At 52.9% G+C, this 27,815-nt stretch overlaps 1 protein-coding gene across 2 annotated transcripts in view, besides 3 other annotated features; it reads left to right on the forward strand.

Moving 5' to 3' along the window:
• PLOD1 (procollagen-lysine,2-oxoglutarate 5-dioxygenase 1) overlaps window positions 1–24,186 on the forward strand; it is a 40,821-nt gene extending 16,635 nt beyond the window's left edge. For both annotated transcript variants that reach the window (NM_001316320.2, NM_000302.4), the window contains 15 exons: window positions 1,272–1,384; window positions 3,479–3,542; window positions 5,566–5,663; window positions 6,491–6,592; window positions 7,165–7,296; window positions 9,295–9,416; window positions 12,181–12,285; window positions 12,824–12,949; window positions 13,293–13,434; window positions 14,129–14,242; window positions 14,900–14,965; window positions 15,636–15,740; window positions 19,319–19,465; window positions 21,521–21,646; window positions 23,302–24,186. In NM_001316320.2, the coding sequence (NP_001303249.1) occupies window positions 1,272–1,384; window positions 3,479–3,542; window positions 5,566–5,663; window positions 6,491–6,592; window positions 7,165–7,296; window positions 9,295–9,416; window positions 12,181–12,285; window positions 12,824–12,949; window positions 13,293–13,434; window positions 14,129–14,242; window positions 14,900–14,965; window positions 15,636–15,740; window positions 19,319–19,465; window positions 21,521–21,646; window positions 23,302–23,457 (1,718 nt within the window). In that variant the 3' untranslated portion in view covers window positions 23,458–24,186. The remainder of the gene's footprint in view (window positions 1–1,271; window positions 1,385–3,478; window positions 3,543–5,565; window positions 5,664–6,490; window positions 6,593–7,164; window positions 7,297–9,294; window positions 9,417–12,180; window positions 12,286–12,823; window positions 12,950–13,292; window positions 13,435–14,128; window positions 14,243–14,899; window positions 14,966–15,635; window positions 15,741–19,318; window positions 19,466–21,520; window positions 21,647–23,301) is intronic.
• Window positions 11,888–12,089: a silencer, noted in NCBI's record as "fragment chr1:12023296-12023497 (GRCh37/hg19 assembly coordinates)". NCBI's record gives its function as "represses an EF-1alpha promoter that drives an FKBP-Casp9 reporter gene in an ReSE screen in HepG2 liver carcinoma cells {active_cell/tissue: HepG2}" and the evidence as "EXISTENCE:reporter gene assay evidence [ECO:0000049][PMID:32094911]".
• Window positions 15,066–15,566: an enhancer, noted in NCBI's record as "H3K27ac hESC enhancer chr1:12026474-12026974 (GRCh37/hg19 assembly coordinates)". NCBI's record gives its function as "activates a minimal SCP1, AML or CMV promoter by ChIP-STARR-seq in naive and primed H9 embryonic stem cells {active_cell/tissue: H9 hESC(naive and primed)}" and the evidence as "EXISTENCE:reporter gene assay evidence [ECO:0000049][PMID:30033119]".
• Window positions 15,567–16,067: an enhancer, noted in NCBI's record as "H3K27ac hESC enhancer chr1:12026975-12027475 (GRCh37/hg19 assembly coordinates)". NCBI's record gives its function as "activates a minimal SCP1, AML or CMV promoter by ChIP-STARR-seq in primed H9 embryonic stem cells {active_cell/tissue: H9 hESC(primed)}" and the evidence as "EXISTENCE:reporter gene assay evidence [ECO:0000049][PMID:30033119]".

Raw genomic sequence — 27,815 nt, forward strand, 5'->3', positions numbered from 1 at the left:
GGCCAGGAGTTCAAGACCAGCCTGGCCAACATGGCGAAACCCCATCTCTACTAAAAATATAAAAGGTAGCCGGGCGTGGTGGTACACGCCTGTAATCCCAGCTACTTGGGAAGCTGAGGCAGGAGAATCTCTTGAACCCAGGAGGTAGAGGTTGCAGTGAGCTGAGATGGTGCCACTGCACTCAAAAAAATAAATAATTTTTTTAAATAAAAAATAATACTATATTTTTTTATAATGTAAAATATATTATATATATTATATATAATAATTTATATAATATATATAATATATATATTGGTGGCTCATGCCTGTAATCTCAGCACTTTGGGAGGCCGAGGTGGGCGGATCACGAGGTCAGGAGATCGAGACCATCCTGGCTAACACGATGAAACCCCGTCTCCACTAAAAATACAAAAAATTAGCCAGGTGTGGTGGCAGGCGCCTGTAGTCCCAGCTACTCGGGAGGCTGAGGCAGGAGAATGGCATGAACCCGGGAGGCGGAGCTTGCAGTGAGCCGAGATCGTGCCACTGCACTCCAGCCTGGGCGACAGAGCGAGACATTGTCTTAAAAATAAATAAATAAATAAAGATGCAAATTCACACACATCACTTAATGACTTTCCACTGCACGGAGAATAAAATCCACAGGCCTCTTTTCAACCTTAGATGGGGATCTGCCATCTGCCCTCAACAGACACTTTTTTCCACTGGTCCAGAGTAAGCACAGTCCAGATGGCCTTGCCCTGGCCCAGGCCCAGGAGTAGGGATGTCCCATTGCTCTTGTGGTTGCTTGTCACCAGTCTGTACTCTAGCCAGGGGCCCATGTGGGCTTCCCCACTATGCCAGGTCTCAGCCCCCAAGGCACTCTGTGAGCTTGGCCCAGCCTTTCCCTTCTCTGGGCCAGGTTTCCCAGATAACTGTAAAAAGGGACACCAGGCCTGTATCCTCCCAGCCCTGCTCTCCAGGGGCTCCTCGTACAATCCGTTTCTTCACCACCTATATGGTGCCCAGCACTGAACAGTACAGCTTAGTGGGCACCATTGGTCTTATTCTTGGGGTCATTAGGAACTCATTAATAAGTGACATTCACTGGCAGCCCCATTTCCAACCTGCAGCCCCACCTCCTGTCAATTCAGGAGGACTTCTGAGAGGTGACAGGGTTTGTGGGCATATGAGTGGAGGTGGATAAGAGGGAAGGGTGGGAGGAGGCCCCTGACTTAGAGGCTGGAAGCTAAGGGTCCGTCTTGGTGTCCCCACCCACCAACCTTCAGGCTTCATCGGTTATGCCCCCAACCTCAGCAAACTGGTGGCCGAGTGGGAGGGCCAGGACAGCGACAGCGATCAGCTGTTTTACACCAAGATCTTCTTGGACCCGGAGAAGAGGGTAAGAGGCAGTGGGCGGGCCAAGGAGAGGGGGCTGGGGATCCACCGGCCAGGCTGCACGGGAACAGCTCCTCTCAGGCCTGAACCCCTGGGTTGGTGTCTTAGTCTATGCAGGCTGCTCTGACAAACTGCCATAGGCTGGGTGGCTCCCAAACAACGGATGTGGATTTCTCATGGTTCTGGAGGCCGGAAGGGTGAGATCACAGTTGGGTTCTGGTCAGAGCCCTCTAACTGGTACAGACACAGCTGACTTCTCTCTGTGTCCTCAGATGGTGGAAGGGGGTAGGGAGCTCACTGGGGCCTCATTGATAAGGACACTAATCCTATTTTTTTATTTTTGGGATGGAGTCTCACTGTATTGCCCAGGCTAGAGTACAGTGGTGCGATCTCGGCTCACTACAGCCTCTACCTCCCTGGTTCAAGCGATTCTCGAGCCTCAGCGTCTCGAGTAGCGGGGACTACAGGCGTGCACCACCACGTTTGGCTGATTTTTGTATTTTTAGTAGAGACAGGGTTTCACTACGTTCGCCAGGCTGGTCTCGAACTCCTGTCCTCAGGTGATTTACCCGCCTCGGCCTCTCAAAGTGCTGGGATTACAGTCGTGAGCCACCGTGCCCGGCTGTCGGGTCTTAAAGAGGCAGCATTGTTCATTGGTTCAGAATAAGGACTTCAGGGCCAGGCTGCCTGGGTTCCAATCCCAGCTCACCATTTACTAGCTGTGTGACATTGGGCAACTTCTCTGTCCCTTGTTTTTTCCGTTATGAAATGCAATAATGGGCCAGACCCAGTGGCTCATGCCTGTAATCCCAGCACTTTGGAGGCCAAAGCGGGTGGATCACCTGAGGTCAGGAGTTTGAGACCAGCCTGGCCAACATGATGAAACCCTGTCTCTACTAAAAATATAAAGATTAGCCGTGCGTGGTGGTGGGTGCCTGTAATCCCAGCTACTCAGGAGGCTGAGGCAGGAGAATTGCTTGGACCTGGGAGGCGGAGGTTGCAGTGAGCCGAGATTGTGCCATTGCACTGCAGCCTGGGTGACAAGAGCCAGACTCCATCTCAAAAAAAAAAGCAATAATGATAATACTTTCTCACAGAGATGTTGTCAGGATTAAATTGATTAATATATGTAGAATAGTTTATTTATTTATTTGAGACAGGGTCTCACTGTCACCCAGGCTGATGCGCAGTGGCAGAAACATAGCTCACTGCAGCCTCAGCCTCCCGGACTCAAGCGATCCTCCCACCTCAGCCTCCTGAGTAGCTGGGACTATAGGCCTGCGTCACCATGTCTGGCTAATTTTAAGATTTTTTTATAGAGATGAAGTTTTGCTATGTTGCCCAAGCTGGTCTCAAACTCCTGGGCTCAAGTGATCCTTCTGCCTCAGCCTCCCAAAGTGCTGGAATGACAGGAGTGAGCCACCGCACCCGACTCGTGTAGAATATTTGGAGTAGCGGCCAGGTGCGGTGGCTCACACCTGTCATCCCAGCACTTTGGGAGGCGGGGGGCGGGGGCGGATCACCTGAGGTCAGGAGTTCGAGACCAGCCTGCTCAATGTGGTGAAATCCCATCTCTAGCAAAAAAAAAAAAAAAAAAAAAAAAAATTAGCTGGGTATGGTGGCACATGCCCGTAGTCCCAGCTACTCAGGAGTCTGAGGCAGGAGAATCGCTTGAACCCAGGAGGCGGAGGTTGCAGTGAGTCGAGGTCGTGCCATTGCACTCCAGCCTGGGTGACAAGAGCGAAACTCTTTCTCAAAAAAAAGAATATTTGGAGTAGCTATGTGCGTGTAGTGGAGTGCTTGGCAGGTGCTGGTTACTCTTAACGGCCGTCATTGTTGTAGGTGAGCCGGCTGCATTCTTAGATTCCTTCCAGTTCAGAGTCCCTGGTTTTCTGTGAGTAGAGCCACTAGACTGTAGACCCCAGGAGCTTGGCTGCTGGCCTTCTCTGGGCACCTAGCTGCCCTGATGTGACGTGGCAGAGTCGGTGTGGGGAATGAGGGCTGAACTTGGGGACAGATTCCCCACACTGGGTGAGATGTAGCCCCAGCCTCCCCCAGGGCCTGTCCCTGCTGCAGTCTGGTACCTTCTTTCCTGCAGGAGCAGATCAATATCACCCTGGACCACCGCTGCCGTATCTTCCAGAACCTGGATGGAGCCTTGGGTGAGCAGCCCCCACGGGGAGGGGTGGATCCTCAGAGGGGTGATAGGAAGAATTCCAGGCAGGGCCCGAGCCCAGGGAGGAGAAATGGGCTGCTTCTTTCTGGCCATTGTGCTGAGAGGTCACTGGCCTCATCCCCAGGTCCCCAGGGGCCACTTGGATATCCTGGCGCAGAGCCATGTCTCTCTTGGGGGCGGGGGACAAGTGAGCATTCAGCCTGGGAGGAGTTGGGGGATGCGCACAGCAGGTGCTGGACCCCCTGCCCTGCATACCAGGTCCTTACAGGTGGGCCCTCTTTCCCCACTTTCCCGGCCCTCCCACCTTCCAGGTGAAGGAGTCCTGGGCTAGGGGCAGGAACTCAGCTGGTGGGACAGGCAGCTTGGGAAGCAAAAGGCTACTTGACCCTTGATGCCGCAAACATCCCTGGGCCTGGCCTCATGTCTGTGGCTGGTGATGACATTGCTTTGCCGCAGGTCTTCCTGTCTTCCTGAGTGACCTCAGGCAAGTCACACCTCCTCCCCACAGGGGACTCAGTTTTCTTATCTTTACAAAAGGGAAGTGAACCGGATCCACTGATTGCTGATTTTGTGGATAAATGGGCCCTTTTGAGAATCTGATGAAAGCTACGGCTCTGCTCCCAGAGAAACGCAGAAAATGCCCTTTGCCTGTGGTTTCTGGGGGTTAAGAAGCACTGAGTTCAGATCCACGCAGGTCAGGAGCTATCTGTTTTCCTTTTTTTTTCTTCTTTTTTAAGATGGAGTCTTGCTCCATCGCCCAGGCTGGAATGCAGTGGCGAATTCTCGACTCACTGCAACCTCCGCCTCCCAGGTTCAAGTGATTCTCCTGCCTCAGCCTCCCAAGTAGCTGGGATTACAGGCGCACACCACCATGCCCGGCTAATTTTTGTATTTTTTTAGTAGAGATGGGGTTTCACCATGTTGGCCAGGCTGGTCTCGAACTCCTGACCTCAGGTGATCCACCTGCCTTGGCCTCCCAAAGTGCTGAGATTACAGACGTGAGCCATCGTGCCCAGCCCTATTTTAATTTTTAAAATAGAGACAGGGTCTCACTATGTTGCGCAGGCTTGTCTCAAACTCCTGGGCTCAAGTGATCCTCCCACCTTGGCCTCCCAAAGTGCTGGGATTACAGGTGTGCGCCAGCGTGCCCAGCTGAAATACCCATTTTCCTATGTGCAGACTAATAGGGTCAAACATGGGTATTGGGGGCCAGGCACTGTAATCCCAGCACTTTGGGAGGCCAAGGCGGGTGGATCACCAGAGGTCATGAGTTCAAGACCAGCCTGACCAACATGGTGAAACCCCGTCTCTACTAAAAATACAAAAATTAGCTGGGTGTGGTGGCATGTGCCTGTAATCCCAGCTACTCAGGAGGCTGAGGCAGGAAAATCACTTGAACCTGGGAGGCGGAGGTTGCAGTGAGCCGAGATCATGCCACTACACTCCACACTGGGCAATAGAATGAGACTCCATTTCTAAAAAACAAAAAACAAAAACACACACAAAAAACATGAGTATTGGAACCCTGCTGCAGGGGCTCCCTCCACTGGGACAAGATCTGTCCTGATCATGCCCAGGCCTCCCCTGCATGTGGCTCTGGCATTTTCTCAGTGCTGCTCTGCCTACTCAGAGAAGGCGCGTCCCAGACCCTTTCTCTTGGGGCTTCTCTGAGGTGCCTGGAGCTGGGATGTTCCAGGTCTTCGTTCTTCTCCCAGCCCCTGCTTCTGACTGTAAGTAACCACAACAAGTACAGGGGTTGCCGTGGATTCTGTGCTCATGATGGGCCAGGCTTGGTGCCCCACGCTTGTTCAACACAAATCCTCCCCCTCACCCCATGAAGAAGGGATTATTCCTATTTTATAGATGAGGAAACTGAGGCTTAGAGAGAAGTGACTTGCCCGAGGACATAATCTACTCACTGCACAGCTGGGATTTGAGCCCAGCTGGTTGGACCCTGAGCCTGACCTCTGGGTCTGATGCTGGGTGGGACTGTGCTTTCTGACCCCCAGATGAGGTCGTGCTCAAGTTTGAAATGGGCCATGTGAGAGCGAGGAACCTGGCCTATGACACCCTCCCGGTCCTGATCCATGGCAACGGGCCAACCAAGGTAGGGGGTCCCCAGCCCCTGGGGAGTGTGGGAGGGGGCCAGAGCCCTAATTTCATTCTCACTGTGACCCCACAGTGTCTCCCTGGGGCCAGGGCCACCTTCCTGGGGCCTGCTATGAACTCACTGCCTCTGTCCTCACATCTGAGCTCAGCGTGATGCCTTCTTTTCCTGCTGTGGTGGTCAGTGGTACTCTGTCTGTTCTTGCTGGTCACAGGACACGTAGGAGGCTGCCATCCCCTTCCAGGCCTAGGCTGGGCTACCAGAGCCATCTGCACTGTCACCCCAGGGCAGAGTCACTTATTCACTCAGTAAACCTTTATTTCATGTTTGCACCAGACAGTAAGACATAGTCATAAGCAGGACGGATGTCCTGCATTCATGGTGACAGAAGGGACTGGGTGCAGATGCGGCCAGGGACAGAATGGACCTCACTGGTCCCTGGGGAACTGGCTCATAGCTCATAGCATATTTGAGTGTGGTCCTTCACCGCTGGAATGAGGGAGAGGAAGGAGGATGTGATGTGTTTAAAATGCAAATTTGCTGATTTCACCCAGGATCTGTTCAGATGGAATCTCTGAGCGGGGTGGGACCCAGGAATCTGCATTTTACAAGCTCTCGGGAGAAGCACTAGAGTGCCAAGCCCTCCCCTGCCCTCTCTCAGAGCGGCTTGGTGATCTCCTGGGGATGGAGCATTATCTCCAAGACCCTCTTAGGGAGTGGGAGGGGGCTGGATGGTGCTGACCCACTGGGGGCCCAGGGAGATGTGAGTCAGGGCTATGGCAGGTGGGGCTGGCTGGCTTCTCTGTGACCCCACGTCTCCCCGACAGCTGCAGTTGAACTACCTGGGCAACTACATCCCGCGCTTCTGGACCTTCGAAACAGGCTGCACCGTGTGTGACGAAGGCTTGCGCAGCCTCAAGGGCATTGGGGTGAGGCTGCGCCCAGGCCTGTGCCTGAGGGACACGGGGGGCTCAGTCCCCTGAGATGGCGAGATGGGTGATTCTGGAATAGACTCCATTGTCTTTGGTGGAAAGTGAAGGGGTCACCTCCCTGCCTGGGGTTCTATCCCGGTTGCCACCCAAGTGCCTCCTCCTGGAAGCCCTCTCAGATTGCATGTCTCTAGCTTCCCCCGAGATGTCCAGGTTCTGGTTTCTTCTGCCTGGTCCTTCAGGCTCTCCTGCAGCCCCCTCCCCATCCCATGAACCTCATCCTCATTTATGACTCACCTCGAACACCACGCCAGCCACGATCTCCTGACAGCAGGCCCTCAACCGAGTCCTTGTTCCAGGCCTGGGCTCCTGCTGCTCTCTCCCCGGGGCACCCTCCTGCTGCTTCCCTGCCCCCCCGTACCCCCTGACTGGAGTTCCCCGGCCCGGGCACCTTTCTTGGGAAGTCTACATGCTTCTGATTCTGGCTCTGACTCCCTTGGGCCACCCTGGGGTGGAGTGGCAGTGCTGTGACTGGACACTGCTGGACTCTTGTGCCGCCCTCCCTGGTGCAGGATGAAGCTCTGCCCACGGTCCTGGTCGGCGTGTTCATCGAACAGCCCACGCCGTTTGTGTCCCTGTTCTTCCAGCGGCTCCTGCGGCTCCACTACCCCCAGAAACACATGCGACTTTTCATCCACAACCACGTGAGTAACAGGCGCTCTGTGGGGTCGTCATGTGGCTTAGATCCAGGGCCCAGCTTCACAAGGTAGCCCGAGACCTCTGAGGGTCTCACCGAATCTAGCTTATCTGGGCCAAATGACAATCACCAGTGGACTGTGTCCCCAAATCACTGAGTTAACTTTGGAGTCAGACTGGGTGAGTTTGAATCCCAGCGCCGCTATTTTATTGGCTGTGTGACCTTGGGCACATTACTCAACCTCTCTGTGCTTTAGTTTCTCATCTATAAAATAGGCATAAAAGTCGGGCGCGGTGGCTCATGCCTGTAATCCCAGCACTTTGGGAGGCCCAGGTGGGCAGATTATCTGAGGTCGGGAGTTCGAGACTAGCCTGACCAACATGGTGAAACCCTGCCTCTACTAAAAATACAAAATTAAGCTGGGTGTGGTGGCAGATGCCTGTAATCCCAGCTACTCAGGAGGCTGAGGCAGGAGAATCGCTTGAACCTGGGAGGCAGAGGTTGCAGTGAGCCGAGATTGCGCCATTGCACTCCAGCCTGGACAACAAGAGCAAAACTCCGTCTCAAAAAAAATAAAAATAAATAAATAAATAAATAAAATAAAATAGGGATAATAATTGTGCAATCACACAGAATTGCTGCAAGGGCTAAGCAAGCTGACATGCGAAGTTCGTAAAAGGTGCCTGGTGCACAGGACGCATCTAGTTGCTTCTAACTGTTGTCATCTTCACTTCCATCCCTGTCACTGTTAATCCTTCCTACCTTCCTAATTGTACCTGGTGGCAGTCAAATTGGTTTTCTTTTCTTTTTTTTTTTTTTTGAGACAGAGTCTCGCTGTGTCACCCAGGCTGGAGTGCAGTGGCACGATCTCGGCTCACTGCAACCTCTGCCTCTTGGGTTCAAGCGATTCTCCTGCCTCAGCCTCCCAAGTAACTGAGACTACAGGCATGCGCCATCACAACTGGCTAATTTTTTGTATTTTTTTTTTTTTTTTTGAGACGGAGTCTTGCTCTGTTGCCCAGGCTGGAGTGCAATGGCGTGATCTCAGCTCAGTGCAACCTCTGCCTCCCAGGTTCAAGCCATTCTCCTGCCTCAGCCTCCCGAGTAGCTGGGATTACAGGCGCCTGCCACCGTGCCTGGCTAATTTTTTGTATTTTAGTAGAGATAGGGTTTCACTATGTTGGCCAGGATGGTCTCGATCTCCTGACCTCGTGATCTGCCTGCCTCCGCCTGCCAAAGTGCTGCGATTACAGCCATGAGCCACCGCACCCAGCTGGATGGTTGTTTTTCCTTTTTTTTTTTTTTTTGAGATGGAGTCTTGCTGTGTCTCCCAGGCTAGAGTGCAATGGTGCGATCTTGGCTCACTGCAACCTCCGCCTCCCAAGTTCAAGCAGTTCTCTGCCTCTGCAACCTCCGCCTCCCGGGTTCAAGCAGTTCTCTGCCTCAGCCTCCTCCCGAGTACCTGGAATTACAAGTGCCTGCCACCATGCCCGGCTAATTTTTGTATTTTTAGTAGAGACGTGGTTTCACCATCTTGGCCAGGCTAGTCTTGAACTCCTGACCTGGTGATCTACCCGCCTCGGCCTCCCAAAGTGCTGCGAATACAGGCGTGAGCCACTGTGCCTGGCCTGGACTGTTGTTTTTCAAAGCGAAGTTGAGGATCACCTGGCACATTTTGTAACAAAGTGGATCTCTGGGCCACACCCAGGAATCAACAATGTCTCTGGATGTGGGATCCTGAGCGTGGTGGCGGAGCTCTATCCTGATGACAGAGGCTCTTAGGAGGCCTGACCTGGTCAGAGGAGAATGGGCAAAGGATGGCCAGGGAAGGGTGTTCCTGGCACAGGGCTGGCATGGGCAAAGGTCTGGAGACAGGAAAGCAGATGGCCGGGGTGCCAGAGATGAAGGGGCACAGCCTGGCAGTGACAGGAGGTGCTACAGTCCCTGGGTGGAAGCTGTGTCCTCCTCCTCACCCCCGCATCCCCTTCCCCATCCCCAACCCCAGGAGCAGCACCACAAGGCTCAGGTGGAAGAGTTCCTGGCACAGCATGGCAGCGAGTACCAGTCTGTGAAGCTGGTGGGCCCTGAGGTGCGGATGGCGAATGCAGATGCCAGGAACATGGGCGCGTGAGTTGTGGGCCACAGTACTCTCCACTGACAGTGGGGGCAGGGGAGCTGTGGCTGTGGTAAGGAGCAGCAGGCTGAGTGACAGGAGTTCAGAAGGCTGTGTGTGCTCTAGCAAGTTCCTGCCCCTTTCTGGGCCTTGGAGTTTCCATCTGTCAAAAGGGGAAATAGCCTCTGTCCTGCCAACCCCCGGGGCTCCTGGGCAGGGCTGAGCCATGTTATTTGGGTTCAGGAAGCAAATCAGAGAAAGAGGAAGGACTGGGGGCAAAAGTAGACAAAGGCTGACTATTAGGGAGCCAACCTTGAATGTTTTACTTTATTATATATAAAAAAAAAAGGCCGAGAGCAGTGGCTCATGCCTGTAATCCCTGCACTTTGAGAGGCCAAAGTTGAAGGATTGCTTGAGGCCAGGAGTTCAAGAGCAGCCTGGGCAACATAGCGAGACCCTATCTCTTCAAAAATTAAAAAAAAATAGCCAAGTGTGGTGGCTTGAACCTGGGGTCCCAGCTACTGAAGAAGCTGAGGCAGGAGGACCTCTTGAGCCCGGGAAGTCGAGGTTGCATGAGCTATGATTGCACCACTGTGTTCCAGCCTGGGAAACAGAGCGAGACCTTGTCTCATAAAGCAAAACAAAAACAAAGAAAGAAGTAATTTGTGTTGCTTGTAGAAGAGTCAGACAGTCCAGATCAAAGGTTGGCAAACTTCCTGCTAAGGATTAGATCATAAATCTTTGCAAATTGGCTCTGCCGGCTCTGTGACAACCCTCAGCTCTGCCCTAGTAGCACAGAGGCTGCATTCCAGCAAAATTTCATTTATGGACACTGAAATTTGACTTTCATGTCATTTATTTTTTTTTCTTTTTGAGACTTGGTGTCACTCTTGTCATCCAGGCTGGAGTGCAGTGGCAGGATCATAGCTTACTGTAGCCTCAAACCCCTGGGTTCAAGTGATCCTCCTGCCTCAGCCCCCCAAGAAGCTGGGACTACAGGCATGTGCCATCACATCCAGTTAATTTTTAAATATTTATTTATTTATTTATTTAGAGACTGAGTCTCACTCCGTCACTCAGGCTGGAGCGCAGTGGCGCGATCTCGGCTCACTGCAACCTCCCCGTCCCAGGTTCAAGCCATTCTCTTGCCTCAGCCTCTCAAGTAGATGGGATTACAGGTGCTTGCCACCACACCTGGCTAATTTTTGTATTTTTAGTAGAGACGAGGTTTCACCATGTTTTCCAGGCCTGTCTCAAGCTCCCGAACTCAAGTGATCCGCCCGCCTTGGCCTCCCTAAGTGCTGGGATTACAGGTGTGAGCCACTGCGCCTGGTTAATTTATTTATTTTTATTTTTTGTAGAGACAGGATCTTGCTATGTTGCCCAGGCTGGTCTCAAACTCCTGGCTTGAAGTTATCCTCCCGTCTCAGCCTCCCAGAGTGCTGGGATTACAGGCATGAGCCACTGCACCTGGTGATGACCTTCACATAATTTTTACATCTTCTTTTGATTTTTGTTTTCTTTTTTTTTTTTTTTTTTTTGAGATGGAGTCTCGCTCTGTCACCCAGGCTGGAGTGCAATGGTGCAATATTGGCTCACTGCAAGCTCTGCCTCCCACGTTCACGCCATTCTCCTGTCTTAGCCTCCCGAGTAGCTGTGACTACAGGTGCCCACCACCATGCCCGGCTAATTTTTTGTATTTTTAGTAGAGACGGGGTTTCACCGTGTTAGCCAGGATGGTCTCGATCTCCTGACCTCGTGATCCATCCACCTCAGCCTCCCAAAGTGCTGGGATTACAGGCGTGAGCCACCACGCCCTGCCGATTTGTTTTTTTCTTGAAACAACTTAAAAACATAAAATCAGCCAAGTGCAGTGGCTGTAATCCCAGCACTTTGGGAGGCCAAGGATTGCTTGAGCTGGGGAAGTTGAGGCTGCAGTGAGCTATGATTGTGCATTCCAGCTTGGCTGACACAGTGAGACCCCCATCTCTAAAAAAGGAAAAAAGGCCGGGTGCAGTGGCTCGCATCTGTAATCCCAGCACTTTGGGAGGCCGAGGCGGGCAGATCACCTGAAGTCAGGAGTTCGAGACCAGCCTGGCCAACATGGTAAAACCCTGTCTCTACTAAAAATACAAAAATTAGCCTGGCATGGTGGTGCACGCCTCTAATCCCAGCTACTTGGGAGGCAGAGGCAGGAGAATCGCTTGAACCCGGGAGGTGGAGGTTGCAGTGAGCTGAGATTGTGCCATTGCATTCCAGCCTGGGCAACAGAGTGAGACTCGTTCTCAAAAAAATAAAATAAAATAAAAATAAAAAAAAGAAAAACATAAAGCTGTTCTTAGCCCATGAGCTGTACAAAACCAGGCAGGGCCAGAGTTTGACTCACAGACCCTCGTTTGCTGAGTCCTGTACCAGATAAACAAAAGTAACACAGATTTTTAAGGCTTTTGGTACAAGTTACCAAATTGCATTTCAGAAAGGCAGCCCCAGCTTACTCCCCACCCTGGGCCATGTAGGCACCTGTGGGCTGTGTTCTTCCCAGTACCAGGATTTTCAGGGCACTTGATACCAGTTGCCAACCTCTGGGCCTTGGGTGAGAGAGCCCAGCAGTCCAGGGGTTTGGGACTCAGAGTCGGGAGGAACCTTTGAGGCTGCTGGTGTGACCTCTCTAAAGCCCCTTGGCTGATATGTGGTGAAGCCAGACTGTGGTCACAGATGTGAGCAGCCACCAGTAGCTCCAGGATCAGGTGCACTGACCCTGTGTCCTCCTCCTTGCAGAGACCTGTGCCGGCAGGACCGCAGCTGCACCTACTACTTCAGCGTGGATGCTGACGTGGCCCTGACCGAGCCCAACAGCCTGCGGCTGCTGATCCAACAGAACAAGTGAGGCTGCTCCGTCTGCACCCAGCACTGCTCAGGACTGGCCTGGTCCTGGGGTGGCAGCCCTCCTTGCCTTCCTCCTCCTCCTCCTCATCCACCTCCTCTTCCTCCTCTTTTTCCTTCTCCTGCTCCTCTTTCTCCTCCTCGTCTTCCTCCTTGTCTTCCTCCTCCTCTTCCTCTTCCTCCTCTTCCTCCTTTTTCCTCCTCCTCCTCGTCTTCCTCATCCTCTTTCTCCTCCTCCTCTTCCTCCTCCTCCTTGGCCTCACCTATTACCCAGAGCTGTGGATCCCCAGCCTGATACCCCAGGTTCTGATAGAGAAGGTGTCCTGCCCTGTCTGCTCCTGGCTGCCCCATGGGAGGGAGCAGGTACCAGAAGAGCCAAACCCCCGACACCCCGGCCAAGGCACTGCCTGTCTCAGTGAGGTGCTTGGGGATCCCTGCGTGCAGGTTGAGGGGCACCTACCTCCCCCCATCCCTGGTTAGTGCTGTCTCCTACTCCCAGTGGGCAGCGACCTCCTACTGAGGTGCTCCCTTCCCTCAGGAACGTCATTGCCCCGCTGATGACCCGGCATGGGAGGCTGTGGTCGAACTTCTGGGGGGCTCTCAGTGCAGATGGCTACTATGCCCGTTCCGAGGACTACGTGGACATTGTGCAGGGGCGGCGTGTGTGAGTACCTGCAGGGTGGGGGTGGGTGGGGGACACCTTCATCTGGCTTCTGCCTGGGCTTGTGGGGCTCCCTCCCTATTATTCCTGTTCTTGTTACCCTCAAATTCCTGTTGAACCTGAAGCAAGGAAGACTTCAGTTAGACACACAGAAGGACTTCCTGACAAATAGGCCCATGTGTCCAGGGCGGGGGAATCAAATCAGCACAATTGTGCCCCCCTAGCCTGTGACTTCCCTTCTCACACCCAGACTCCAGGCTATGACTCCCCACCACCACCCTGTGACCCCCTCCATCTTCCCCACCACCAGCCTCTGACCCCCACCCGCTTTCTGTCTCTCCCACAGTGGTGTCTGGAATGTGCCCTATATTTCAAACATCTACTTGATCAAGGGCAGTGCCCTGCGGGGTGAGCTGCAGTCCTCAGATCTCTTCCACCACAGCAAGCTGGACCCCGACATGGCCTTCTGTGCCAACATCCGGCAGCAGGTCAGCCAGGAGCGGGCAGCACAGGACGCCCTCTGGATGGGGCAGGCGGGAAGGTGGGCCTCCAGCTCTGACCCTCATGGTGGGCCGCCTTGTCACCGTAGGCCTGGGAGCTCCAGAGATTCTAGCAGGGCATCTCGGAAGCCACCAGGGCCTGCTGGAGGAATGGGGGCCGTCGGGCACGAGGGCTGGTCCTCAGGGGTCTGCAGGGACCATTTTAGCTGACCTGGTTTTTATACCATCTATTTTATTTACATTTTTGGAATAGCCCAAAGAAAACGGAACTTTCCACCTAAAGGTACTCCAAGTGATGTGCCCGAGAGACACCTCACCCTGTCTCTGCGCCCCACCCCATATATTTTTGTGACTTTTTTTTTTTTTTTAAACATGCAGCAAGATGAAGTTTTCCCCTGTGACCAACATTTCAGGACCAGAACACGCTCCTTTTCTTTTACGCATTTTTTCTTTCATTCTGTGTTCAGTCCTCTGGGAAGACTTCCCTGATCACATTCTTAGTGTCAGGCCTGGGCTGGGCCCTGGGGACATAGCGGTGACTGCACTTGGTCTCTGATATTGGGAACTTCAGTTCGGCGGGTGGAGGAGGCTGCACTGTTGCCCGTCTGGGAGCGTGCAGGGGAGGGGTGAGGGCAGGGGAGGGGTGGGGGAGCGCCTCTTCCACCGGGCCTGTCCTCCCCAGGATGTGTTCATGTTCCTGACCAACCGGCACACCCTTGGCCATCTGCTCTCCCTAGACAGCTACCGCACCACCCACCTGCACAACGACCTCTGGGAGGTGTTCAGCAACCCCGAGGTGAGGCCAGGGTGGGCACATAGGGGCTGGGAGCAAAGGGGCCCAGTGATCCTGCAGTCGGAGGGACTTCCCTCTCAGAGTCTTACAACAGCCAGGACCCCTGTAGGCCACCTGCCACCCTCCCTTCACCCCAGGAGGCTATAGGGCAGGATTTGGGTAGGGAGAGAAGGGTGTCCAGAGAGGCAACACCATCTATTGGAGGAGGGACCAGGACTCAAGAGGCCTGGGTTTGTGGCCTAGATCTGCCATCATCTGGGACTTAGTTGAGCCTTCCAGCTTTGGGGACCTTAGTTATCTTAGCTCCAAAATGGGTATACTGTCCCAGCCTGTCTTACCCATGAGGGTGTTGTGATGATCAGAAGGGGAGACAGTTGTAACTGTTTCTAGACGTTGGGAGCTCACAGCTGATGGGTGTAAGCACATGCCTGCACACAGACATATACACACAAGCACACACATGTACATACATGTGCAAACACCACCTCCTATGGGCACACCTGTGCACCCAGACAACACACACGCACCCAGTGGGTGCAGGTGAACACCTGCCTCTGTCAAGCACGTACACCTTCACTCCCACTTTGAGGGGTCTGCTCTGAGCATCCCTGGCAGTTGAGCCAATGGTGAGGACCCTAGCCTGCTTCCCACTTCCCACAGGACTGGAAGGAGAAGTACATCCACCAGAACTACACCAAAGCCCTGGCAGGGAAGCTGGTGGAGACGGTAAGGGCCATGGACACCCTCTTGGACCAGCCTTGCCTGCTGCAGGGGGCAGGGCACAGAAGGGAAACTGCTTGCCCTGGGGAGTGGGGGACAGCAGGATGGGAGTTGGGGGTGGAGGGATGGGAGTTGGGGGGCGGCAGGATGGGAGTTGGGGGTGGCGGGATGGGAATGGGGGGGCGGCGGGATGGGAGTGGGGGGTGGTGGGATGGGGGTGGGGGGAGGCAGGATGGCCCCTCTACCTGTTGGCACTTTCCTGCTGGAGGCTGTGGGAGTCTGCAGGGCCTCTCTACCTGGCCCAGGCAGGAAGGAGGAAAACATCCTGGATGTGATGGCCACTGTGGCCCACCATGCCTGGACCACTTCGGGGAGTGGCTGCTTCTCTCCACTCACTAATGTCTGCTTCCCCCGAGCCTGGGGCCTCTGCCCCCTCCCTCCCTCCATGCCCATGTTTCTGTCTGACCTTGGCGCTGGTAGCTCTGTGACCTCGGCTGGGAAAGTCTGTCTCTGGGCTCTGCCTCCTCCTCCCCACTCAGTCTCTCCAGGATTGACAAGGCCCTGCTCCCCGGGGACACTGGGAGGGCTCCCTGGCTTGGGTGTGTGGCCCTGAAGAGGAAGGAGGATTCTGTGGTGCCACTGTGGACCCCCTTGACTGAGTCCCTGCCCTCCCCAGCCCTGCCCGGATGTCTATTGGTTCCCCATCTTCACGGAGGTGGCCTGTGATGAGCTGGTGGAGGAGATGGAGCACTTTGGCCAGTGGTCTCTGGGCAACAACAAGGTGGGACCCTGATGCCTGGGCTGGGGCCGCAGGGAGGCTGCCTCTCCATCAGTGCCGCTCACTGTCTGGGGTCTTCTGGCAAGCTGGCCTGGCCACCCTTTCTGGGACTCTTGACATAGGGGTGCTGGCATGGGTATCTGCAGGCAGGTAGGAGTAGAGGGATTGAGAAACCTGAGATGGAGTTTGGTCCCTGAGCTGCTGTTGCCACCGTGTGGCTTTGAGTTGCCTTGACCGTAAGCTACTAGGTTTTCAGTTCCTGGTTTGCTATTGGAATGGCTTAGCTTGGTTCCCTAGACTTCCCCCAGGTGGAGCTGGGGAGGAAAGGGCCAAGGTGGGATGAGGGGCATTAGGAAGGGCTGTCGGGTCCAAGTTCATCAGACAGCAGGAGCAGGTGGCCTGCTGAGGGTGCTAGGCCCTGTGTTCTCTCCGTGAGAATCCCAACACCTGTTCCTGTCCTGGAAAGTTCAGGTACCATTTTTTTTTTTCTTTTCATGTGTGTGTGTGTGTATATATATATATATATAAAAAGAAATATATATAGATTTTATTTATATATATATATATATATTTTTTTTAAATAATAGAGACGGGGTCTGGCTGTGTTGCCCAGGCTGGTTGTGAACCAGGCACAATTTCATTTTATTTATTTTAATTAATTAATTAATTAATTAATTTAGAGACCGAGTCTCACTCTGTCGCCCAGGCTGGAGTACAGTGGCGCAATCTTGGCTCATTGCAACCTCTGCCTCCCAGGTTCAAGAGATTCTCATGCCTCAGCTTGCCGAGTAGCTGGGATTATAGACGTGTGCCACCACGCCCAGCTAATCTTTGTATTCTTTATTTATTTAATTGTGTGTGTGTAAATTTTTTTTTTTTTTTTAAGGCAGTGTCTCGTTCTGTCACCTAGGCTGGAGTGCAGTGGCATGATCTCAGCTCACTGCAACCTTCCTTTCCCAAGTTCAAGCAGTTTTCTTGCCTCAGCCTCTCCAGTAGCTGGGACTACAGGCGTGTGCCACCATCCCTGGCTAATTTTTGTATTTTTAGTAGACACTGGGTTTCACCATGTTGGCCAGGCTGGTCTCAAACTCCTGGCCTCAGGTAAGCTACCCACCTCGGCCTCCCAAATTGCTGGGATTACAGGCGTGAGCCACCGTGTCTGGCCTAAGGCACCTTTTTATTTTATTTATTTTTTTTATTTTAATGATCCCAGAACATTTATTTCCATAGGATTTTGATAAAAGAGCACAATCTTGAATAAAAATACACCACTGTACTTAAAGGCAACATTACCTACTAAGCAAACTCTGTCCTTAGCCCTTTCACAGAAGAGAAACTGCAGAAAGGAATTTTTCGTCTCCTGACAGTTTTACAACATTCATATCTCCTATGTACTTCAAGCCCCAACCCACCTCTGATTTTCTTTTTTCTTTTTTTTTTTTTTGAATGGAGTCTCGCTGTGTCGCCCAGGCTGGAGTGCAGTGGCGCCATCTCAGCTCACTGCAACCTCCGCCTCCCAGGTTCAAGCAGTTCTCTTGCCTCAGCCTCCCGAGTAGCTGGGATTACAGGCGCCTGCCACCATGCCCGACTAATTTTTGTATATTTAGTAGAGATGGGTTTCACCATTTTGGTCAGGCTGGTCTCGAACTCCTGACCTCATGTTGTGATCCACCTGCCTCAGCCTCCCAAAGTGGTGGGATTACAGGCATGAGCCACCGCACCGGGCACCCCACCTCTCATTTTCTACGTCCTTTTTTTTTTTTTTTTTGGTGAAGTGGAGCCTCGCTCTGTCGCCCAGGCTGGGGTGCAGTGGTGCAGTGGTGCAGTGGTGCGATCTCGGCTCACTGAAACCTCTGCCTCCTGAGTTCAAGTGATTCTCTTGCCTCAGCTTCACAAGTAGCTGGGATTACAGGTGCTGGCCACCATGCCTAATTTTTTTTTTTTTTTTTTTTTTGAGACGGAGTTTTGCTCGTCACCCAGGTGGAGTGCAATGGCACAATCTCAGCTCACTGCAACCTCCGCCTGAGTAGCTAGGATTACAGGTACCCACCACTACGCCTGGCTAATTTTTGTATTTTTAGTAGAGACAGGGGTTTCACCGTGTTTGTGAGGCTGGTCTGAAACTCCTGACCTCCGGTGATCCACCCACCTTGGCCTCCCAAAGTGCTGGGATTACAGGCGTGAGCCACCGTGCCTGGCCTCATTTTCTAAGTTGTTTAACAGAAATGTGTGTTCCCAAGTTTAAGGCACCGTTTTTAAAGGCACATGAGACCCTGGACCTGTGTGCCAACCTCTGACCTGGCAACTGGACTAACCTGAAGTTCTGGTTATCTTCCTAATCCACATGCTTTGGTTGCTGAGCTGATCTCCAGAAGCCAGGAACTGGACTAGCCCGTGCATTCTGGGGGCTGGCTGATGCTTGTGCTCCAGTGACAGGGCCAGACCTCGGACCCCAGCTGACTCTGGCCCTGGAACAAGTTTTCAGTGCTCTGTAACAAATGACTGTGGCTCAGAATAACACCCGTGTGTTATCTCCTGGTTTCTGTGGGTCAGGAATCTGGGCCCAGTTTAGCTGGGTCATTGAGGTGTCAGCTGGGGTTGGGGTCTCATCTGAGGCCCAGGATTCCATTCCAAACTCACTTGGTTGTTGCAGAATTCATTCCCCTGCAGCTGTAGAACTTAACTTGCTTCTTCAAGGCCAGCAAGAGACAGAATCTCTCTTCAGTATCCTCCTTTAGCCAGGCGCAGTGGTTCATGCCTATAATCCCAACACTTTGGGAGGCTGAGGCAGGAGGATCGCTTGAGTCCAGGGGTTTAAGACCAGCCTGGGCAACATAGTGAGACCTCATCTCTACAAAGAATAAAATTAGTGGCTGGGTGCATGGCTCACGCCTGTAATCCCAGCACTTTGGGAGGCCGAGGTGGGCAGATCACCTGAGGTCAGGAGTTCGAGACCAGCCTGGCCAACATGATGAAACCCCATCTCTACTAAAAATACAAAAAAAAAAAAAAATTAGCCAGGCATGGTGGCGCACGCCTGTAATCCCAGCTACTCGGGAGGCTGAGGCAGGAGAATCACTTGAACTCAGGCGGTGGAGGTTGCAGTGAGCTGAAATGACGCCATTGCACTCCAGCCTGGGCAACAGAGTGAGACTCCGTCACACACACACAAAAATAAAAATAATAAAAATAAAATTAGTTGGGCGTGATGGTGCGTGCCTGTAGTCCCAGCTACACGGGAGGGTGAGGTGGGAGGATCACTTAGGCCTGGAAGGTTGAGGCTGCAGTGAGCTGAAGTTGCGCCACTGCGCTCTTACCTGTGCAACAGAGGGATACCCTGTCTCAAAAAATAAGGTCTTTCTGCAGATGACTCACCTAGTAGGTCAGGCCCCCCCAGGATAATCTCCCTTTTGATTAACCCAAAGTCAACTGATTAGGAGCCTTAATTGTATCTGCAAAGCCTGTTCAGTTTTGTCATGTAATGTGGTCCGGTCACATTCCCGGGTGTAGGAGAGGGGAGTAGACAGAGCCTGGGGGCCATCCTAGAATTCTGCCTAAACATTCACCTCGGTCACCTCCAGGACAACCGCATCCAGGGTGGCTACGAGAACGTGCCGACTATTGACATCCACATGAACCAGATCGGCTTTGAGCGGGAGTGGCACAAATTCCTGCTGGAGTACATTGCGCCCATGACGGAGAAGCTCTACCCCGGCTACTACACCAGGGTGGGCAAGCCTGGGGCATAGCCAGGATGCGGGGACAGTTGGGTGGGGTGTCAGTGGAGTGGCTGGGACTGGTGGGGGTAGGGTGGGAGGTGGAGAAACTGGGAGGGGCCGAGGTGGAGTGAGGGTGTGGGGAGCGTGGGAGGGGCAAGGGTGGGGCATGAGGTAGAGGGACTGAGGGGTGGGGATGGGGTTGGGAAGAGCAGGGGTGGGGTGGGAAGTGGTAGAGAAGCTGGGAGGGGTGGAGAGGAGTAGGGAGCCTGGGAGGGGCAGGGGTGAGTGGGAGTGGAAAGCCTAGAGGGGCGGGGGGGCAGGGGTGAGGGAGTGGAGAGACTGGAAGGGGCAGGAGTTGGTGGGGAGGTCGAGGCCAGTGTGGGGCAGGGGGATGGGGTGGGAGGGGTAGGGTGGAGTGGGGGGCTTGGGTGGAAGGGCCAGGGGTGGGTGGGGGCTGGAGAGTCTGGCAAGGGGAGGGGCTGGGGAAGGGGTTGGGTTGGAGTACGGGTGGAGGAACATCCCAGCTTATGGGAGAGGCCTGGATATTTGGTCCCCAGGCAGGAGTGAGGTCTCACCGCACACACCCCCTCCATCTAGTAGCGTGTGGGAAGACAGGGTGCTGGGCTGGGACTCTAGGGCCGGCTAGTTGGCCTCTAGCCTGAGCTGGAGTCTCACTCAGCCTCATGAGTAGCTGGGATTACAGGCACCTGCCACCATGCCTGGCTAATTTTTGTATTTTTTGTAGAGACAGGGTTTCACCATGTTGGCCAGGCTGGTCTCAAATTCCTGACCTCAAGTAATCCGCCCACCTCTGCCTCCAAAAGTGCTGGGATTACAGGCATGAGCCACCGTGCCTGGCCGACCTCAGCTCTTTTGAATCTTTCTTCCTTGTCATTAACCCTGCCTCAGTGGCTCCTATACCAGCCCACCAAAAAAGCACCCCTGCCCACCTTAGCTGGCCAGCGTGCCCACTCCCTCCCTAGCCACAAGCCTGTGCCCCACGCCTGGGCCCTGCTTCGTCCGAAGCAGCCTTCTTCCAATAGTGAGGAAAACCCTGAACTCCTGTTACTGACAGTTGTCATTCATCCCTTGAATGCTTACTGTGGTTCCCCGGAAACAATTACCTGGCTGGCCTCGGTTAATTCTCACAATTCTTTCCAGTGCTATCACTCATGTGTCTGTCCACTGCTACCTTGGCTTTCTCCAAGGTACTTTCTCCAAGACTCAGTTCCTTCCTTGGTCTCTGGTTTCTCCAGATACCTGCCCATGGCGTGCCTGGGTCCTGCCTCAGGGAATCCAGCCTGGATAGTTGCCAGAAAGGGTTGTGAGGATTGGATGCCCCCCTTTGTCTTTGTCTTTTCATTCATTCCTTCGTTCCTTTCTTCCCTTCCTTCCTTCCTTCCTCTCTCTCTCTCTCTCTCTTTCTTTCTCTCTCTCTTTCTCTTTCTCTGTCTCTTTTTCTTTCTTTTCTTTCGCACTTGTCACCCAGGCTGGAGTGCAGTGGCGCAATCTTGGCTCACTACAATCTCCGCCTCCCAGATTCAAGCGATTCTCCGGCCTCAGCCTCCCAAGTAGCTGCGATTACAGACGCCCACCACCATGTCTGGCTAATTTTTTGTAATTTCAGTAGAGATGGGGTTTCACCATGTTGGCCAGGCTGGTCTCAAACTCCTGACCTCAGGTGATCCGCCCACCTTGGCCTCCCAAAGTGCTGGAATTACAGGCGTGAGTACCATGTCCGGCCTCCTTCCCTTTCATTTCTTCTCTTCCCTTTCATTTCTTCTCTTCCCTTTTCCTCCCTTCCTCCCTCCCTCCCTTCCTTTCTTCCTTCCCCTCTGTTCTCTTCCTTCCCTCCCTCTCTCCCCTCTGTCCATACATTTTTGTTGAGAACCTTTTCTGTGCCAGGTAGTTGCAGGCACTCGAGCATAGAGCCCCATGTAGACCTGGCCCCTGTAAGCTGACCTGCAGCAGGCCAGACCAGGCCCCATGTGTGCACCCTCCTCTCCTGGCCTTTGTGTCCTCCTTAACTAACACGGGCTCTCTTGTCCCCCTGCCTTGGTACAGGCCCAGTTTGACCTGGCCTTTGTCGTCCGCTACAAGCCTGATGAGCAGCCCTCACTGATGCCACACCATGATGCCTCCACCTTCACCATCAACATCGCCCTGAACCGAGTCGGGGTGGATTACGAGGTGAGCAGGAGCCAGCCGGGGTCAAGGGGCCGGCAATGGGGATGAGGAGGGCTAGCTGAGGAGAGGCTTCAGGGTGGTTGAGGCAGAGGGGCCCCAGGTAACCAGTGCCAGAGAACCAGAAAAAAAAGGATGTGGGTCTGTGGGAGGGCTTCCTGGAAGGGTTCACAGTCTAGCAGGAGGAGGGGCCAGGCTCTTAAGCTACTATTTTAAGAGATTTTTGGGCTCGGCATGGTGGCTGATGCCTGCAATCCCAGCAGTTTGGGAGGCCAAGGCAGGCAGATCACTTGGGGCCAGGAGTTTGAGACCAGCCTGGCCAACATGGCGAAACCCCATTTCCACTAAAAATAGAAAAATTAGCTGGGCGTGGTAGCACACACCTGTAATCTTAGCTACCCAGAAGGCTGAGGCATGAGAATCTCTTGAACCCAAGAGGTGGAGGTTGCAGTGAGCTGAGATCATGCCACTGCACTCCAGCCTGGGCAACAGAGCGAGACTCTGTCTCCAAAAAAAACAAAAAGAGGTTTTTTGAACTTAGCCCTGGGCTGGGTGCTGTGGAGAACACTCATAAAAACAGCTATAATCCTTTTTTTTTTCTTTTTCGAGACAGGGTCTTGCTCTGTCACCCAGGCTGGAGTGTAGTGGCATGATCACAGTTCACTGCAGCCTCAACCTCCTGGGCCCAAGCAATCCTCCCACCTCAGCCCCCCCAAGTAGTTGGGACCACAGGCGTGTGCCACCATGGCCAGCTAATTTTTTTTCTTGCTTTTAGAGATGGGGTTTCACTATGTTGCCCAGGCTGGAGCTATAATTTTTTGAGAGCTTACAACAAACATATCAGGCATCCCTAATCCAAGGATTCTCAACCAGGAGCAACTGTGGCCTGCAAGGGACATTGGCAGTACCTGGAGACATAATTGGTTTTTACAACTATGAGGGGCTACTGGCATCTAGTGGGTAGAAGTCAGAGATGCCCGGGACAGCCTTCCACAGCAAAGTGTCTATAGTGGTGAGGTTGGGAAGCTTGATCCTCAGCTCTCAATTGTAACATCTCATTTAATTCTCACTATCCTGTTCTGTTTAACCCTCATTTTACAGAAGGGGAAACTGAAGCTCAGGTTGGTCACAGTTAGTAAAGAGTGGAGGTGATGTCTGCCCAGGGCTGCCTGACTCCAAGGACAGAGCTCTTGATCACTTACTCTTTGGGTTTTTTTTTTTTTGAGACAGTCTCATTCTGTTGCCCAGGCTGGAGTACAGTGGCGCGATCTCGGCTCACTGCCTCCTGGGTTCAAGTGATTCTGTCTCAGCTTCCCGAATAGCTGGGATTACAGGCGTGCGCTGCTACACCCAGCTGGTTTTTGTATTTTTAGTAGAGATGGGGTCTCACCATGTTGGCCATGCTGGTCTTGAACTCCTGACCTCAGGTGGTCCACCCGCCTTGGCCTGCCAAAGTGCTGGGATTACAGGCGTGAGCCACCACTCCTGGCCACTACTCTTCATTTAGTGTCTTCCTTAGCAGCGCTTGTGGCTGTCACTCCAGAAGGCATCCCCAGGCAGGCAGTGCTGAGGGCCACTTGGCCATGACAGGAGATCATGACGGGAGAACAGACGGGCAGGGGGGCGGTGGGGAAAGGCCACTGATGCTTTCTGTCTCCCAGGGCGGGGGCTGTCGGTTCCTGCGCTACAACTGTTCCATCCGAGCCCCAAGGAAGGGCTGGACCCTCATGCACCCTGGACGACTCACGCATTACCATGAGGGGCTCCCCACCACCAGGGGCACCCGCTACATCGCAGTCTCCTTCGTCGATCCCTAATTGGCCAGGCCTGACCCTCTTGGACCTTTCTTCTTTGCCGACAACCACTGCCCAGCAGCCTCTGGGACCTCGGGGTCCCAGGGAACCCAGTCCAGCCTCCTGGCTGTTGACTTCCCATTGCTCTTGGAGCCACCAATCAAAGAGATTCAAAGAGATTCCTGCAGGCCAGAGGCGGAACACACCTTTATGGCTGGGGCTCTCCGTGGTGTTCTGGACCCAGCCCCTGGAGACACCATTCACTTTTACTGCTTTGTAGTGACTCGTGCTCTCCAACCTGTCTTCCTGAAAAACCAAGGCCCCCTTCCCCCACCTCTTCCATGGGGTGAGACTTGAGCAGAACAGGGGCTTCCCCAAGTTGCCCAGAAAGACTGTCTGGGTGAGAAGCCATGGCCAGAGCTTCTCCCAGGCACAGGTGTTGCACCAGGGACTTCTGCTTCAAGTTTTGGGGTAAAGACACCTGGATCAGACTCCAAGGGCTGCCCTGAGTCTGGGACTTCTGCCTCCATGGCTGGTCATGAGAGCAAACCGTAGTCCCCTGGAGACAGCGACTCCAGAGAACCTCTTGGGAGACAGAAGAGGCATCTGTGCACAGCTCGATCTTCTACTTGCCTGTGGGGAGGGGAGTGACAGGTCCACACACCACACTGGGTCACCCTGTCCTGGATGCCTCTGAAGAGAGGGACAGACCGTCAGAAACTGGAGAGTTTCTATTAAAGGTCATTTAAACCACTGAAGGGAAGATGCTCAGGGCGAGTGGGTGTGTGTGTGTCTTGGTGTGAGTGTCTGCAGGGAGAGAGGTTTTAAGAGCCCTCTTTTTTTTTTTTTTTCTTTTTTTGAGACAGAGTCTCACTCTGTCTTCCAGGCTGGAGTGCAATGACGCTATCCCCGCTTTCTGCAACCCCCGCCTCCTGGGTTCAAGTAATTCTCCTGCCTCAGCCTTCCGAGCAGCTGGGGCTACAGGCACCCATCACCACGCCTGGCTAATTTTTGTTTTTTTATTAAAGAAAGGGTTTCACCAGGTTGGTCTGGCTGGTCTTGAACTCCTGACCTCAGATGATCCACCCACCTCGGCCTCCCAAAGTGCTGGGATTACAGGCATGAGCCACCGTGCCCGGCCAAGAGCCCTCTTTTTAGAGCCTTTAAGAAAGGTCATGCTAGCCTCTCGACCCCTGAGTAGCTGGGATTATAGGTATCCATGCCTGACACATTTTTGTATTTTTTGTAGAAACGGGGTTTCATTTCACCGTGTTGGCCAGGCTGGTCTCGAACTCCTGACCTCAGGTGATCCATCCGCCTCGGCCTCCCAAAGTACTGGATTACAGGCGTGAGCCACCATCCCAGGCCTGAAAGTCTTTTAAAAAAGATTTTTGAGGCCAGGCACAGTGGCTCACACCTGTAATCCCAGCACTTAGGCTGAGGCAGGCGGATTACCTGAGGTCAGGAGTTTGAGACCAGCCTGGGCAACGTGGCGAAACCCTGTCTCTACTAATAATATGAAAAAATCAGCCGGTTGTGTTGGCATGCGCCTGTAATCCCAGCTACTCGGGAGGCTGAGGCAGGAGAATCGCTTGAACCCAGGTGGTGGAGGTTGCAATGAGCCAAGATTGGGCCACTGCACTCCAGTCTGGGTGACAGAGCAAGACTCCATCTCAATTAAAAAAAAAAAAAGATTTTTTAGTCTTTTCATTTTCAAAATTGACTCATTGTAAATTCAAACAGCACAAATCTTAATCTTTCTGTCATCCTTTCCCCCCAGCTGCTCAGTTCCTCTCTCTGAAAGCCACCATGTCTAATCTGTTTTTTGAACGTTCTTGAGCTGGTTTGTGCCGACACAAGCCTGTGTGTGTGTTTGTGTATGTTAGGGTTATTTTTGTTTTTGTTTTTGAGATGGAGTCTCACTCTGTCGCCCAGGCTGGAGTGCAATGGCATGATCTCGGCTCACTGCAACCTCTGCCTCCCGGGTTCAAGCAATTCTCGTGCCTCAGCTTCCCGAGTAGCTGGGATTACAGGCACCCGCCACCACGCCCAGCTAGTTTTTGTATTTTTAGTAGATATGAGGTTTCACCATGTTGGCCACGGTGGTCTCCAACTCCTGACCTCAGATGATCCACCTGCCTCGGCCTCCCAAAGTGCTGGCATTACAGGTGTGAGCCACTGTGCCCGGCATAGGGTTGTTTTTAACTGTTAACTTTTTTCTGATTACAAACTCATCTTCACCATGAAAAAGTCAAACAAAATAGGTAACATGGGGGGCCGGATGCTGTGGCTCACATCTGTAATCCCAGTACTTTGGGAGGCTGAGGCGGGTGGATCACTTGTGGTCAAGAGTTTGAGACCAGCCTGGCCAACATGGCAAAACCCCCATCTCTACAAAAAAATACAAAAATTAGCCAGGTGTGGTGGCAGGTGCCTGTAATCCCAGCTACTTGGGAGGCTGAGCTGGGAGAATCACTTGAACCTGGGAGGTGGAGGTTGCAGTGAGCCAAGATTGCACCACTACACTCCAGCGTGGGTGACAGAGCAATAACCTGTCAACAACAACAACAACAAAAAGTAATATGGACCGGGTGCAGTGGCTCATGCCTGTAATCCCAGCGCTTTGGGAGGCTGAGGTGGTAGGATCACTTGAGGCCAGGAATTCTCAACCAGCATGGCCAACATGGCAAAACCCTGTCTCTATTAAAAATACAAAAATAAGGTGGGCTTTATGGCACATGCCTGTAAACCCAACTACTCAGGAGGCTGCAGCACGAGAATCGCTTGAACCCGGGAGGCAGAGGTTGTAGTGAGTTGAGATTGTGCCACTGCACTCCAGCCTGGGTGAGAGAGCAAGACTCTTGTCTTAAAAAAAAAAACAAAAACGTAAGAAAGAAAGGTCTCCTGGAGTTGTACATCAGTGTGCTCTGCACCCATTCCCAATAACACTCAGCACTGCTAGGAGAGTTTTGTCATCCCGAGGGTTGAAACGAGGATTCAGCCATCTCAATGAGAAACACATGTTAATGGGTTGAAACATATCTCCAAACTGAGATTTCCTCTACTTGCTGGGCAAGTATGCAGATGTGTTTCAGAGATAAAGCCCAGCTGCTGGGCAGAGTACAAGACTAAATGCCTGGGAATGGATTCAGAGGTTCCTACAGCAGTCCAGGCAAGTGACCAGGACCTAGACCAATGCTTGCAGGGAAATTTAGGGAAGAGGAGGGAGTGGGCAGGGGAGATGTTTAGGAGAGAGAACATCCAGGCTTTCACCTGACGGGCAAGATTCTGCTAAAAAGGAAAAGGAAGGCTGGGCGTGGTGGCTCACACCTGTAATCCCAGCACTTTGGGAGGCTGAGGCGGGTGGATCACCTGAGGTCAGGAGTTTGAGACCAGCCTGGCCAACATGGTGAAACCCCATCTCTACTAAAAATACAAAAATTAGCCAGGCATGGTGGTGCACGCCTGTAATCCCAGCTAGTGGGGAGACTGAGGCGGGAGAATTGCCTGAGGCGGAGGTTGCGGTGAGCCAAGATGGTGCCACTGAGCTCCAGTCTGGGCAACAGAGTGAGAGCGAGACTCTTTCTCAAAAAAAAAGAAAAAAAAAAAAAAAGAGGAAATGGAATTTATAGTTCCTGCCCTCAGAGAATGGAAGTGGAATTTAGAGTTCCTCTCCTTAGGGAGTCCAGAGATTGTGGAGGAGGAAACAATCCGACCCAGTACCAGGCAGCTAGCAGCTGAGGCCCCAAGGCACGCTACATCCCAGACAGGGCCCTGTCTACACCCTGAGGCTGAGTCTGCGTGTGGCCCCACAGTCCACAGTCAGACCCGCGGGGCACTAGGCTACTCAGAGGGCAGTGTGGGCAGGACAGCTCCCTTTGGCCATCGTCATGAGACTGATAAACCAGTCACTTCTATATCAGAGTACTGATTTGCCTCTTGAGGTTGTTTGTGGCAATAAATTGAGGTTGTTCTACCATGGTTATAGAGCAGCACCATCCCACAGAATTACAGTTTGACCCACAAATGCAAGCTACTTATGTAATTTTAAATTTTCTAGTAGCGACATTTTTAAAAAGAAACAGGTGCAATTAATCTTAGTAATGTATTTAACCCAAATGACCCAAAATATTATCACTTCAACATGTAGTCAGCATATAAATAGTAATGGGCTAATAGCCCTGCACTGTGGCAGGTACCTGTAACCCGGCATTTTGGGAAGCCGAGGCAGGAGAAGATTGCTTGACTCCAGGAGTCCAGGAGTTCAGGACACCAGCCTGGGTAACAAAGTGAAATGCTTCCCCATGTCTACAAAAGATAAATACTAGGCATGGCTGCAGCATCTGTGGTCAGCTACTTGGGAGGCTGAGTGAGGTGGGAGG

The sequence above is a fragment of the Homo sapiens genome, chromosome 1 (genome assembly GCF_000001405.40).
Source record: "Homo sapiens chromosome 1, GRCh38.p14 Primary Assembly".
Classification (NCBI taxonomy): domain Eukaryota; kingdom Metazoa; phylum Chordata; class Mammalia; order Primates; family Hominidae; genus Homo; species Homo sapiens.